General features: G+C 37.1%; 1 annotated feature.

Moving 5' to 3' along the window:
- Window positions 1,827–2,326: an enhancer, noted in NCBI's record as "H3K4me1 hESC enhancer chr7:150403727-150404226 (GRCh37/hg19 assembly coordinates)". NCBI's record gives its function as "activates a minimal SCP1, AML or CMV promoter by ChIP-STARR-seq in primed H9 embryonic stem cells {active_cell/tissue: H9 hESC(primed)}" and the evidence as "EXISTENCE:reporter gene assay evidence [ECO:0000049][PMID:30033119]".

The raw sequence follows: 15,323 nt of genomic DNA, 5'->3' as shown, positions 1-15,323 counted from the left end.
AGCAGTTTTGAATGAGATTCTTAATCCTGAGTTCTAGTTTGATTGCACTGTGGTCTGAGAGATAGTTTGTTATAATTTCTGTTCTTTTACATTTGCTGAGGAGAGCTTTACTTCCAAGTATGTGGTCAATTTTGGAATAGGTGTGGTGTGGTGCTGAAAAAAATGTATATTTTGTTGATTTGGGGTGGAGTGTTCTGTAGATGTCTATTAGGTCTGCTTGGTGCAGAGCTGAGTTCAATTCCTGGGTATCCTTGTTGACTTTCTGTCTCATTGAATTGTCTAATGTTGACAGTGGGGTGTTAAAATCTCCCACTATTAATGTGTTGGAGTCTAAGTCTCTTTGTAGGTCACTCAGGAGTTGCTTTATGAATCTGGGTGCTCCTGCATTTGGTGCATATATATTTAGGATAGTTAGCTCTTCTTGTTGAATTGATCCCTTTACCATTATATAATGGCCTTCTTTGTCTCTTTTGATCTTTGTTGGTTTAAAGTCTGTTTTATCAGAGACTAGGATTGCAACCCCTGCCTTTTTTTGTTTTCCGTTTGCTTGGTAGATCTTCCTCCATCCTTTTATTTTGAGCCTATGTGTGTCTCTGCACGTGAGATGGGTTTCCTGAATACAGCACACTGATGGGTCTTGACTCTTTATCCAATTTGCCAGTCTGTGTCTTTTAATTGGAGAATTTAGTCCATTTTCATTTATAGTTAATATTGTTATGTGTGAATTTGATCCTGTCATTATGATGTTAGCTGGTTATTTTGCTCGTTAGTTCATGCAGTTTCTTCCTAGTCTCGATGGTCTTTACATTTTGGCATGAGTTTGCAGTGGCTGGTACCGGTTGTTCCTTTCCATGTCTAGTGCTTCCTTCAGGAGCTCTTTTAGGGCAGGCCTGGTGGTGACAAAATTCGTCAGCATTTGCTTGTCTGTAAAGTATTTTATTTCTCCTTCACTTATGAAGCTTATTTTGGCTGGATATGAAATTCTGGGTTGAAAATTCTTTTCTTTAAGAATGTTGAATATTGGCCCCCACTCTCTTCTGGCTTGTAGAGTTTTTGCTGAGAGATCTGCTGTTAGTCTGATGGGCTTCCCTTTGAGGGTAACCCGACCTTTCTCTCTGGCTGCCCTTAACATTTTTTCCTTCATTTCAACTTTGGTGAATCTGACAATTATGTGTCTTGGAGTTGCTCTTCTCGAGGAGTATCTTTGTGGCGTTCTCTGTATTTCCTGAATCTGAATGTTGGCCTGCCTTGCTAGATTGGGGAAGTTCTCCTGGATAATATCCTGCAGAGTGTTTTCCAACTTGGTTCCATTCTCCCCGTCACTTTCAGGTACACCAATCAGATGTAGATTTGGTCTTTTCACATAGTCCTATATTTCTTGGAGGCTTTGCTCATTTCTTTTTATTCTTTTTTTCTTTAAACTTCCCTTCTCGCTTCATTTCATTCATTTCATCTTCCATTGCTGACACCCTTTCTTCCAGTTGATCGCATTGGCTCCTGAGGCTTCTGCATTCTTCACGTAGTTCTCGAGCCTTGGTTTTCAGCTCCATCAGCTCCTTTAAGCACTTCTCTGTGTGGGTTATTCTAGTTATACATTCTTCTAAACTTTTTTCAAAGTTTTCAACTTCTCTGCCTTCGGTTTGAATGTCCTCCGGTAGCTCAGAGTAATGTGATCGTCTGAAGCCTTCTTCTCTCAGCTCGTCAAAGTCATTCTCTGTCCAGCTTTGTTCCATTGCTGGTGAGGAACTGCGTTCCTTTGGAGGAGGAGAGGTGCTCTGCTTTTTAGAGTTTCCAGTTTTTCTGCTCTGTTTTTTCCCTATCTTTGTGGTTTTATCTACTTTTGGTCTTTGATGATGGTGATGTACAGATGGGTTTTTGGTGTGGATGTCCTTTCTGTTTGTTAGTTTTCCTTCTAACAGACAGGACCCTTAGCTGCAGGTCTGTTGGAGTACCCGGCCATGTGAGGTGTCAGTCTGCCCCTGCTGGGGGGTGCCTCCCAGTTAGGCTGCTCGGGGGTCAGGGGTCAGGGACCCAGTTGAGGAGGCAGTCTGCCAGTTCTCAGATCTCCAGCTGCATGCTGGGAGAACCACTGCTCTCTTCAAAGCTGTCAGACAGGGACATTTAAGTCTGCAGAGGTTACTGCTGTCTTTTTGTTTGTCTGTGCCCTGCCCCCAGAGGTAGAGCCTACAGAGGCAGGCAGGCCTCCTAGAGCTGTGGTGGGCTCCACCCAGTTGGAGCTTCCTGGCTGCTTTGTTTACCTAAGCAAGCCTGGGCAATGGCGGGCGCCCCTTCCCCAGCGTTGCTGCCACCTTGCAGTTTGATCTCAGTCTGCTGTGCTAGCAATCAGCGAGACTCCATGGGCATAGGACCCTCCGAGCCATGCGCGGGATATAATCTCCTGGTGCGCTGTTTTTTAAGCCTGTTGGAAAAGCACAGTATTTGGGTGGGAGTGACCTGATTTTCCAGGTGCCGTCTGTCACCCCTTTCTTTGACTAGGAAAGGGAACTCCCTGACCCCTTGCACTTCCTGAGTGAGGCAATGCCTCGCCCTGCTTTGGCTCACGCATGGTGCATGCACCCACTGACCTGCACCCACTGTCTGGCACTCCCTAGTGAGATGAACCCGGTACCTCAGATGGAAATGCAGAAATCACCCATCTTCTGCGTCGCTCACACTGGGAGCTGTAGACCAGAGCTGTTCCTATTCAGCCATCTTGGCTCCTCCCCACCTTTCCTGACTTTTTAATGTTTGCCATTCTAACTGGCGTGAGATGGTATCTCATTGTGGTTTTGATTTGCATTTCTCTAATGACCAGTGATGATGAGCTTTTTTGCATATGTTTGCGACTGCATAAATGTCTTTTTTTGAAAAGTGTCTGTTCATATACTTTGCCCACTTTTTGATGGGGTTGTTTGTTTTTTTCTTGTAAATTTATCTAAGTTCTTTGTAGATTCTGGATATTAGCCCTTTGTCAGATGGATAGATTGCAAAATTTTTCTCCCATTCTGTAGGTTGTCTGTTCACTCTGAAAATAGTTTCTTTTGCTATGCAGACACTGTTTAGTTTAATTAGATCCCATTTGTCAATTTTAGCTTTTGTTGCCATTGCTTTTGGTGTTTTAGTCATGAAGTCTTTGCCCATGCCTATGTCCTGAATGATATTGCCTAGGTTTTATTCTAGGGTTTTTATGGTTTTAGGTCTTAGGTTTAAGTCTTTAATCCATCTTGAGTTAATTTTTGTATAAGGTGTAAGGAAGTGGTCCAATTTCAGTTTTCTGCATATGGCTAGTCAGTTTTCCCATCACCATTTATTAAATAGGGAATCCTTTCCCCATTTCTTGTTTTTGTCAGGGTTGTCAAAGATCAGATAGTTGTAGATGTGTGGTGTTATTTCTGAGGCCTCTGTTCTGTTCCACTGGTCTATTTATCTGTTTTGGTACGAGTACCATGCTGTTTTGGTTACTGTAGCCTTGTAGTATAGTTTGAAGTCGGGTAGCATGATGCCTCCAGTTTGTTCTTTTTGCTTAGTGTGAAAATGGCCATACTGCCCAAAGTAATTTATAGATTCAATGCTATCCATATCTATTTGTTGTCTTTATAGTAATTTGACGTGTAAAGTTAGGTTGCTTATTTGAGATTGCTCTTCTTTTTTTTCTAGTTTTATTTTGGGTTAAGGGGGTATATGTACAGGTTTGTTACATGAGTACAGTGTGTGTCACTGAGGCTTGGTGTATGAATGATCTCATCATCAAGGTAGTGAGCGCAGTACCCGATAGGTAGCCTTCCAACCTCTCCCCCTTCCCACCCTCCCCACTCAAGTAATCCCCAGTGTCTATTGTTCCCATTTTTGTGTCCATGTGTATTCAATGTTTAGCTCCCATTATAAGTGAGAACACATGGTATTTGGTTTTCTGTTCCTGTGTTAGTTTGCTTAAGATAATGGTCTTCAGATGCTTCCACATTGCTATAAATTTCGTTCTTGGAACTCCTTTTGCTGTATCCTGTAACTTTTGATAAATTATATTTTCATTTTTACTTCTCTCAAGATAGTTTTAAAATTTCTCTGATTTCTTCTTTTACCCAGTGATTATTCAAGAGTGTGTTAGTTTTCATGTATTCATGAAATTTCCCATTTTTATTGCTTTTATTGATTTCTAGCTTCATTCTATTGTGGTTGGATAGTATATCTGGAATGATTTCAATCTTCTTAAATTTGTTAAGATTTGCTTTGTGACCTGAAATGTGATCTATTCTGGAGAATGTTCCATGTATGAATGAGAAGAATATATATTCTTCTCCTGTTGGATAAAAAGTTCTGTATAAATCTATTAGGTCCATTTGCCCTATAGTGTAGTTCAGTTCCATTGTCTCTTTGTTGATTTTATGTCTGATGTCCTATTCACTATTGAAAGTAGGATATTGAAGTCTTCTACTATTATTGTATTGCTGTCAACCTCTCCTTTTCAATCTGTCAATATTTGCTTTATATACTTAGATGCTCTGATGTCGGACACATTTATATTTAGTATTGTTATATGTTTCTGTTAAATTGACTCTTTTACCATTATGTAATGATCTTTTTTGTATCTAAAAACAGTTTTTTTTTTTAACTGAAACTCTGCTTTATCTTATATAAGCAGAGCCATTCCTGCTCTCCTTTGGTTACTGTTTATATGAAATATCCTTTCTCATCCCTTTCCTTTCAGCCTCTGTGTGTCCTTAAATCTAAAGTGAGTTTCTTGTTGACAGCAGATAGTTTGATCTTGATTTTTTTTATCCATTTAGTGACTCTATATCATTTTATTGGGAAGTTTAGTTCATTTGTTTAAAATAATTATTGATAAGGAGGGATTTATTATTACCATTTGATTAACTGTTTTCTCTTTGTCTTACAGCCCTTTTGTCCCTATTTTTATCTCTTGCTCTGTTTCATTTTTAATTAATTGGTTTTGATTTCTTTATGTTTTTCTTTTGTGTAACTTCTATAGGTGTTTTCTTTGTGGCTACCAAGGAGCTTACATAAAATGTCTTATAGTTGTAACAGTCTATTTTGAGCTGATAATAACTTCATTTGCATACAATAACTGCTTTGATCCCTCTTCCCTCCAAATTATATTCTGTTGATGTAACAATGTACATCTATTTGTATTATGTGTCTATTAATATCATTTATAGACATTTTAATGTTTTTTCCTTTTAGCTTTTATAGTAGAATTAAAAGTGATTTACCACCTCCATTATAGTAATACAATATTCTATTTTTGTCTATATTTACCTTTACCAGTGAGCTTCATTCCTTCTTATGCACGTGTGTTGCTGTTTAGTACTCTTTTAATTAAACTTGAAGAGCTCTCTTTAGCATTTCTTGTAAGGTAGGTCTAGCAGTAATAAACTCCCCGAGCTTTTGTTTTTCTGAGAAAGTCTTAATCTCTTTTTCATTTTTTTAAGGTTAGATTTGCTTGACACAGTATTCTTGATTGGCAGTTCCCCACTCCCAGCACTCTGAGTATATCATTCCATGCACTTCTTACCTGCAAGGTTACTGCTGAAAAATCTACTAATAGTCTTATGAAGATTCCCTTGTATGTAGTAGGTTGCTTTTCTCTTTCTGATTTCAAAATTCTCTGTCTTTAACTTCTGACAATTTAATTATAATGGGTCTTTTTGGATTCACTTTATTTAGTATCCTTTGGGCTTCCTGGATCTGGATTTCTATTTACTCCCCCAGGCTTGGGATGTTTTTAGCTATTATCTCTTGGAATATATTAGGTTGGTGCAAGAGTAATTGCGTTTTTTTGCAGATGTATTGCAAAAACTGCAATTACTCTTTTACCAACTTAATACTTTCTTTCACTTTCTTTTTTCTCTTCTTTTGGGTCTCTAATAATGTATACATTGGTCGGCTTTATGTGTCCCATAAGTCCCTTAAGGTATCTTCACTCTTTCATTCTTATTTCTTTTTGCTCCTCTGATTGGATGATTTCCAATGGCCTGTCTTCAAGTTCACTGATGCTTTCTTCTGCTTGGTTTAGTCTGCTGCTGAACTTCTCTGTTGAATTTTTCAGTTCAGGCATTGTATTCTTCGGCTGTATCACTTCTGTTTGGTATGTTTAAACATTTTCTATCTGTGTGTTGAAAGTCTCACTTTGTTCATGCCTTTCTCTCCTGACCTCAGTGAATATTTTTAAGACCATTATTTTGAATTCCCTGCTGGGTAAATGACTTGTCACTATTTTATTAAGTTGACTTCTGGAGTTTTATCTTTTTTTGTTTTGTTTTGTTTTTTGTTTTGTTGTTGTTGTTGTTGTTTGAAACGTATTTTCCTGTTTCTTCATTTTCCTTGATTCTGTGTTGGTTTCTGTGCATTAGATAAAACAGCTACCTCTCCAGTCTTGTGTAGGAATAAACCACACAAATCAGTATGGCCAGTGATTCTGGGTGCCTCCCAAATCTTTGTGCTTGTCCAAACCATTGCCTATGTTCTTCATGGGCCCCAGAAGATTAATGTGTTCCATATCCCATTAGTGCCCTGAGACAATTCAAAAAGAAGTGAATACTTTGAGAAGAAGCTGGAAAATTTATGGTGCTAGATGTGTGGTCCAGTTTTTTTTTTCTCTCTTCAGGGAGAAGCTTGGAACTGAAGTGTATTTGCCCTTGTTCTGGAATAAGGCATGGAGACTATCTGTGTCAGATTCCTGCACTCTCGTTCAGACTGTACACTCTTTCAACCCTTTGGTCTGCTCTTTGTTTCCCTCAGGGGCCTAATGAATATTGATTCCCATTGGCTGTCAGAGACAGGTGAGTCAGATGGAGGCTTGGTACTATCTCTAGAGCAAGCTGAGAAGAGGATTTGTGGGAAGTGCCTATAGTTCCCTTCAGGCTCCCAGAGAAGTACTTATTGCCTGCCCCATCAGCTCCCAGATGCAGGCTAATTAAAGGCTTGATCCTGGGAAGCAGCAGTGAAAGTTAAGATGTTAGGTTTGCAGTTGAACCCCTTCCAGGGAGAAACTGGAAACTGGGTGTTTTGCCTTCTTGTTCTGTGCCGAGCCAGGGGAAGTAGCCACTACAGGTGCTCCTATTCCCATTTAAAATCAAATCAATTCTTTGTTCTCTGTGGTCTGGGGGGACTTGTAAATGCTAAGTCATGTCAGTTCCCAGAGATAAGTGATTTAGGAGCTAGTCTCTCAAGTGGGAGCTGTACAAGTTGGGGTGCTCAATGTGTAGACAAGCCCCTTCCAGGCAGAAGCTGGAGGCTTGGTTTTACTGCTGGAGTAATATGGTGGGGGGGGGGGGGAAGATTGCTAATTAGCTGCATTTAAAATAGATTATTTTGGATTGTCTGGGTACCCCCAGTGTAATCACAATGGCCCTTAAAAGTGGAGAGAGATGCGGAAAAGAAGTTCATAGTGATTTGATGTGAGAAGGACTCAATCCATTGTCATTGGCTTTGAAGGTGGAACTGGGCCATAAGCCAAGGAATGCAGGTGATCTCTAGAAGCTGCAAAAGGCAAGGAAATTGATTCTCCAGTACAGCCTCCAGAAAAGAACTCATCCTCACCAACAACTTGAGACTCATGTTGAACCTCTAAGTTCCAAAACTGTAAGATAATAAATTTTTGTTGTTTTAAGCTACTAAATTTATGGTAACAGCAGCAACAGGAAACTAAGCATATTGGACTTGAAAATGTGTATTCTGCTGTTATTAAGTGGAATGTTCTATAAATGTCAATTAGGTCAAATTGGTTGACAATGTTGGCACACTGAATAATGCCCCCAAAGATATCCATGTCTTATTGCCCAGGACATACCTGTGGATGTTACTTTATATGTCAAAAAGGGACATTGCAGATGTAATTGAGTTAAGGATCTTGAGATAAAGAGATTATTTTTGATTGTCCAGATGGACTCTAAATATAAATTTTAAGAGAAGCAGAGGGAAGGCACAGAAAAAGAGGGCAATGTGAGGACTGAAGCAAGATGCTGTGCTGCTGGCTTTGAAGATGAAGGAAGGGGCCATGAGCAGCTCTAAAAGCTGCAAAAGGCAAAAAAATATTTCCCTTAGAGATTTTGGAGAAGTAGGGCACTACCATCACCTTGATTTCAGCCCCATGAAACTGATTTTGGACTGTTGATTTCCAGAACTGTGAGAGAATAAATGGCTTGTATTAAGACACGAAGCTTGTAGGAATTTCTTGCAGCAGCCATAGGAAACTAATACAATGGTGTTCAAATCTTCTCTATCTTTACTGATTTTTTTGTCTACTTGTACTATTATTATTATTTTTCCATACCTATCTTCTATACTATTAATTATTGAGAGGGGCATTAAAATCTCTGGCCATATTTGTGAGTTTTTCTTTTTATTATTGCAATTCTGTCAATTTTTGCTTCATGTGTTTTGGAATTCTGTTATTACACACATAAAAGTTTTAGATTGTTATGTCCTCTTGATGAATTGATGGCTTTATCATTGTAGAATGTCCTTCTTCATTCCTGATAATATTTTTTCCTTTGAAGTCTACTTTGTCTGATATTAATATTGTCATTCCAAGTATCTTTTGATTAGTGTCATTATAGAATATCTTTTTTCATCCTTTTCTGCTTAAGCCAGCTGTCTTTATATTTAGTGCAAGATTCATGTAGGCAAAATATAGATAAGCTTTGCTTTTTAAATCCACTCTGACAATCACTGCCTTTTAACTGAGGATATTCAGACCATGTACTCTAATATTTAGATTATTGACTTCTTTAGATTTAAATCTATCATCTTACTATTTTTCAAATTTGTCGCATTTGTTCTTTGTTTCCCTTTTTACTGCCTTCATTTATATTAATTGAACTTTTAAAAAATTCCATTTTTCCTCTCTCTGTTGGCTTATTATCTATAACTCTTTGTTATTTTATTGGTTGACTTAGAGTTTATAGTATAGAGCTTTTGCTTGCCTCAGTTCACCTTGAAGTGATATCATATCACTTTACATAGAGCATAAACATTTTATAATAGTATCTTTCCATTTTTCCTCTCCTGATTTTTTGTCCTATTGTTCTCACAGGTTTTACTTTTGCATATATTGCAAAACTCAATCTATATTGTTATTATTTTTGTTTAAGCAGTCAATTATATTTTAAAGGTATTTAATTAATAAGAAAAATACCCTATATATTTACTCATGTGGTTACCATTTTTGATGATCTTAATTCCTTTGAAAAGATCAGTATTTTTCTCTGATATCATTCTCCTTTTTTAACTTTTTTTTTTTTTTTTGTAGTTCAGGTCTGCTGGCAACAAACTGAGCTACTGAATGTCTGGAAAAGCTTTTATTTTGCCTTCATTTTTGAAAGGTAATTTTGAAAAATAATTTTAATTTGACAGTTTTTCTTCTAATACAGTCATGTGTCACATAATGATGTTTTGGTCAACAACAGACCACATATGCGATGTTGGTCCCATAAGAGTATAGCACCCTATTTTTACTGTATTTTTTTTCTGTGTTTAGTATGTTTAGATACACAAATACTTACCAGTGTGTTACAGTTGCCTACAGTATTCACTACAGTAGCATGCTCTACAGGTTTGTAGTCTAGGAGCAATAGGCCATATCATACAGCCTAGGTGTGTAGTAGGCTGTACCATTTAGGTTTGTGTAAGTACACTCTACAATGTTCACAGAATGATGAAGTAGCTTAATGGTGCACTTCTCAGAATATATCCCCATTGTTAAGTGACACATGATTGTACTTTGTAAATGTTGTTTCACTGTCTTCTCTGTCACATTAATTCTTCAGAAAAATCTGTTGTCATCCTTACCTTTGTTTCTCTGGACATAACATATGTTTTTTTTCCTCTGGCTGCTTTAAGAATTGTCCTTTTATCATTCATTTTGATCAACCTGATTATCATGTTTCTTCTTGTGGATGTCTTATTTGCTTGGGGTTCACTGAACTTCTTGGGTTCTTGTGCTTACAGTTTTCATAAAATTTGGAAAATTTTTGGCCATTATTGATTCCAATATTTTTTCTGTCCTGACCCCCTTTTATTTTTAGTGAATCCAGTTACATATACATTCCACTTGAGGTTGTCCCAGAGCTCACTGAAGCTCTGTTCTTTGAAAGTGACTATTCTTTTTTTCTTTTGTGTTTTCTATGTTGGGACATTTCTATTGCTGTGTCTTCAAGTTCATTAATCTTCTCTCTTTTCTAAATTTTTAGGTTCAGGGGTAAATATGCAGGTTTGTTATATAGGTAAACTTGTGTCACAAGGGTTTGTTGTACAGATTGTTTTGTCACTCAGATACTAAGCCTAGTACCCAATAGTTGTTTTTTCTGTTCCTTTTCCTCCTTCCATCCTGCACCCTCAAATAGGCCCCAGTGTCTGTTGTTCTCCTCTTTGTGTCCATATGTTCTTATCATTTAGCTCCCACATGAGAACATGTACTATTTGGTTTTCTGTTCCTGCATTAGTTTGTTAAGGATAATGGCCTCCGGTTCCATTAATGTTCCTGCAAAGGACATGATCTCATTCTTTTTTATGGCTGTGTAGTATTCCATAGTGTATATGTACATTTTCTTTATCCAGTCTAGCATTGATGGGCATTTAGGTTGATTCCATGTTTTTGCTATTGTGAATAGTGCTGCAATGAACATACATATGCATGTGTGTCTTTATGATAGAATAATTTATATTCCTTTGAGGATATACCCAGTAATGGGATTGCTGGGTTGAATGGTAGTTCTGGTTTTAGATCTTTGAGGAATTGCCACACTGCTTTCCACAATGGTTGAACTAATTTACACTCTCACCAACAGTGTATCAGTGTTCCCTTTTCTCAGCAACCTTGCCAGCATTTGTTATTTTTTGACTTTTTAGTAATAGCCATTTGGACTGATGTGCGATAGTATCTCATTGTAGTTTATTTTGTATTTCTCTAATTATCAGTGATATTGAGCTTTTTTAAAATATGCTTGCTGGCCACATGTATGTCTTGTTTTGAAAAGTGGCTATTCATGTCCTTTGCCCACTTTTTAATGGGGTTGCTTTTTTTTCTTATAAATTTGCTTGAGTTTCTTACAGATGCTGGATATTAAACCTTTGTCAGGTGCATAATTTGTAAAAATTTTCTCCCATTCTGTAGGTTGTCTGTTTACTCTGTTGATAGTTTCTTTTGCTGTGCAGAAGCTCTTTAATTGGATTCTATTTGTCAGTTTTTGCTTTTGCTGCAATTGCCTTTGGCATCTTCATCATGAAATTTTTGCCAGTTCGTATGCCCAGAATAATATTGTCTAGGTTGTTTTCCAGGGTTTATATAGTTTTTGGGTTTTACATTTAAGTCTTTAATTCATCTTGAGTTGATTTTTGTATATGGTATAAGGAAGGGGTTCAGCTTCAATCTTCTGCATATGGCTAGCCTGGTTAGCCAGTTATCCCAGCACCATTTATTGAATAGGGAGTCCTTTCCCCATTGTTTATTTTTGGCAGATGGTTGTAGTTGGTGTGGCCTTATTTTTGGCCTCTCTATTCTGTTCCATTGGTTATATGTCTGTTTTTGTACCAGTACCATGCTATTTTGCTTACTGTAGCTCTGTAGTATAGTTTGAAGTTACGTAGCATGATGCCTCCAGCTTTGTTCTTTTTGCTTAGGATCACCTTGGCTATTAAGGCTGTTTTGATTCCATATGAATTTTAAAATAGTTTTCTTTCTAGTTCTGTGAAGAATGTCATTGGTAGTTTGATACGAATAAGATTGAATTTATAAATTACATTGGGCAGTATGGTCATTTTAACAATATTGATTCTTCTTATTCATGAGCATAGAATGTTATTTCATTTGTTTGTGTCATCTCTGACTTCTTTAAGCAGTGTTTTGTAGTTCTCATTATAGAGATCTTTCGCCTCCCTAGTTAGCTGTGTTCCTAAATATTTATTCTTTTTGAGGCAGTTGTGAATGAGATTGCATTCCTGATTTAGCTTTCGGCTTGACTGTTGTTGTTATATAGGAATGCTAGTGACTTTTGTACATTGATTTTGTATCCTGAGGCTTTGCTGAAGTTCTTTATCAGCCGAAGGAGCTTTTGGGCTGAGACTATGGGATTTTTTAGATATAGGCTCATGTTGTCTGCAAACAAGGATAGTGTAAATTTCTCTCTTCCCATTTGGAAGAGAGAAACAAACTCTCTTTTGTTACTCTCTTTTATTTCTCTCTCTTATCTGATTGCTCTGGCCAGGACTTTCAATACTATGTTGAATGGAAGTGGTGAAAGAGGACATCCTTGTCTTGTGTCAGTTTTCAAGGGGAATACTTTCAGGTTTTGTCCATTCAGTATAATGTTGGCTGTGGGTTTGTCATAGATAGCTCTTATTATTTTGAAGGTATGTTTCTTCAATACCTGGTTTATTGAGAGTTTTTAACATGAAGGGATTTTTGAATTTGATTGAAAGCCTTTTCTGCATCTATTTAGATGATCATAAGTTCACTAATCTTTTCTTTTTCAGCCTAATATTTTGCTAACCCTATTCAATGTACTTCTTATATCTTTTATGGTAGTTTTTATCTCTAGAGGTTAAATTTGGATCTTTTTAATGTCTTCCACCTTACTACTTAAACTGTTTTAACATATAGCACACAGTTGTAATAACTGTGTTAATGTTTTTGGCTGATAATTCTAACACTTTTGTCAGTCTGGGCTGGTATTTATTCATTGATTTATCTCTTCATATTTTCTTGCTAATTTTCATGTTTGGTAATTTTTTACTGGATGCCAGACATCTGGTTTTGACCTTCTTATGTGCTGAATATTTTCTTACTTCTGTAAATATTCTTGAGCTTTCTTCTGGGATGCATTTAAGTTACTTGGAAACAGTTTGATCCTTCAGGTCTTGCTTTTAATATTTGGTAGGCATACTTGATAAGTTGTCAGTCTAGAACCAATTATTTCCCACTAGTGAGGCAAGGCTCTTCTGGGAAATCTACCCAATGCCCCACAAATCACAGGCTTTTTTAGTTTTTATGGTCCGTGGTGAGTGCAGGACACTGTTTCCTCTAATCTTGTTGACTGGTTCTTTTTGTCACCTCAGGGGGTTTCACCACATGCATGTGGTGATCAGTATTCAATTGAAGACTCAAGGGGGACTCTCTGCAGGTGTCTAGTTTTCTCTCCATATAGCTCTCTCCTCTCTCAGACTCTGTTATGTGAACTCTTAGCCACCTTTGTATCTCCAGAATCCCAACTCTATCTTCTCAAATCAGGGAGTCTGCCAGGCTCCACCTGGTTTCCATAAATGTTAGTTTTTTAATGCTGCATAACAAATTACCGCGAACTTAGCAACTTAAAACAGCATAGATTTATTATCTCAAGATTAGTGTGGGCAGGGAGTGTAGACATAGCTTAACTGTATGTTCTCTGCTTTAGGGTTTCACCAGCCTGTAATGCTAGCTTAAGTCTAATCAGAGGCTTGATGGGAAAGATCTGAACCCTCAGGATGTTGACACAATTTGTTTCTTTGTGGCTGTGACCAAGGATTTTGACTTTTTCCTGTATGTTGGCTAGAGGCCACCTGCAGTTCTCTGCCATGTTAGCCCTGTTCATAGGCAATTCACAAAATGGAAATTTGCTCCTTGAAGGCCAGGAGGAAAGGAAAAGCAAGTCTTTGTGCAGCTATATAAATCACTGGAGTGACATTCTGTCACCTATGCCATGTTCTATTGGTTAGAAATAGGTCTCAGATCCCACCTACAATCAAGGGGAGGAGTTCTACAAAGGTGTGAACACCAGGGGCCAGGAATCATTTGAAGTCAACATAGGGTCTGTCTGTTATACCCTCTCTGTGTTGTGACCTGAAAACTCTCTCAAGACAGGAGGCTGGGAAAATTGAAACTCTTGTCTTGTTTTCCAATTCTCAGTGATTACTCTCTTTTGTTACCTGATTTTCAGTGTCTTCAGCACTGTCATTTTATATCATTTGTCCATTTTTTGATTGTTTCACATGGGGCAGGAAGGGGATATCTGGTCCTTGTTATGCTATTTTGATCTGACAAGGAAGTCTGAACTCTGTTTTTTAAATTCAGTTTTTCTGTCTGTTGTCAGGATATGGAAGTGTTGTAGCTTTTAAAAAGTTGATATTATATTGAGATTCATTGCTCTACTTTTATTACCTTTAATTATCTATCTAAAATTATTATTTTTCTTTCTCATCAGTACTCATACCTTTTATTTTTATTTCTTTTTTTGAAGTTATTAGATAGATAAGACCTGTGGTAAAATGCTAAATAGAAGCAGTGATAGTCTGCATCTTTTGTTGCTCCAAATTTTAATACAAATCCCTGCAATGTTTGAGAGAAACTCTCTTTTTTCATCTGTCCACTTTTAGATGTTTTCCAGTATCTTTACATAGATTTAAAATTTTTAAAAGTTTTTATAACTGCTACCCATGGAGGAGTTTATGTAATGAATACACTTCTCCAACACTAATAGGAGTATTCATCATTAACTTTAAAAAAATCAATTATAATTTGATTTATTAAAATTTCATGAGTTTTTTCAAATACAGCTCATCATCTTTGGTAGTTTTTTGTTCCTTTTTAATTTGGGCTGTATGTGTGTGATATTCTAAGAAATATTTTATAGCTACTTAGTACACTGTAACTAGTACTGTGATATTAAAGTTTCTGAGTCTACTTCTGTTGGGTTTTTTAATCTTTTTGATCTTGTTCATAGGGACATGATTTGGGTTCACTTTACTGAATTAATTCCATCTGAATACTCAAGTAAATTGGAGATGTTTTCCTCTAGAGAAGATTTGTGTTTGCTTCTACTGGCTGTCAATAATTCAACTAATTTTGGATAACTTTAGTCTCCTGGAAGGTCCTAAATTAATACAGAACACTCCAAATCAGCTCTCCAATTTTACTGACAGCCCAAGATTGATTTCTTCATCTTAGGATTGGTACCGGCATTTGTCTATCGGTCACCTCTGCCTTCCTTGTTCATGTATTCCTCATGGGCCTCAACTCCAGTTTGTGCTCCTCATTTAAAAAAAAATATTGTTTGCTCTACCTTTGGAATTTTCTTTATTTTTCTGGTGAACTCATCAATTATAAAAATTCTGTTTCTTTTAATAAATGTAGCCTCTATTTGCATCTAGCAAGATGATGCTTCAGAATATCCAGTCCAATTTGCTATCTTTTCTGACATTTGTCTTTACTTATGTTTCAGTGATAAATCTGTAGGACGTCAGGGCTAAAATCTGGCTAACATGAGTCATGTCCACTTACCATTTTCTAAGGAGAAAACTATAGAAGAGAATTAACAACATATGATCAAAGGAAC

This window comes from Homo sapiens, chromosome 7 (assembly GCF_000001405.40).
Source record: "Homo sapiens chromosome 7, GRCh38.p14 Primary Assembly".
NCBI lineage: Eukaryota > Metazoa > Chordata > Mammalia > Primates > Hominidae > Homo > Homo sapiens.
The sequence above is the reverse complement of the archived record's forward strand: the minus strand, read 5'-3'. Positions and strand labels throughout refer to the sequence as shown.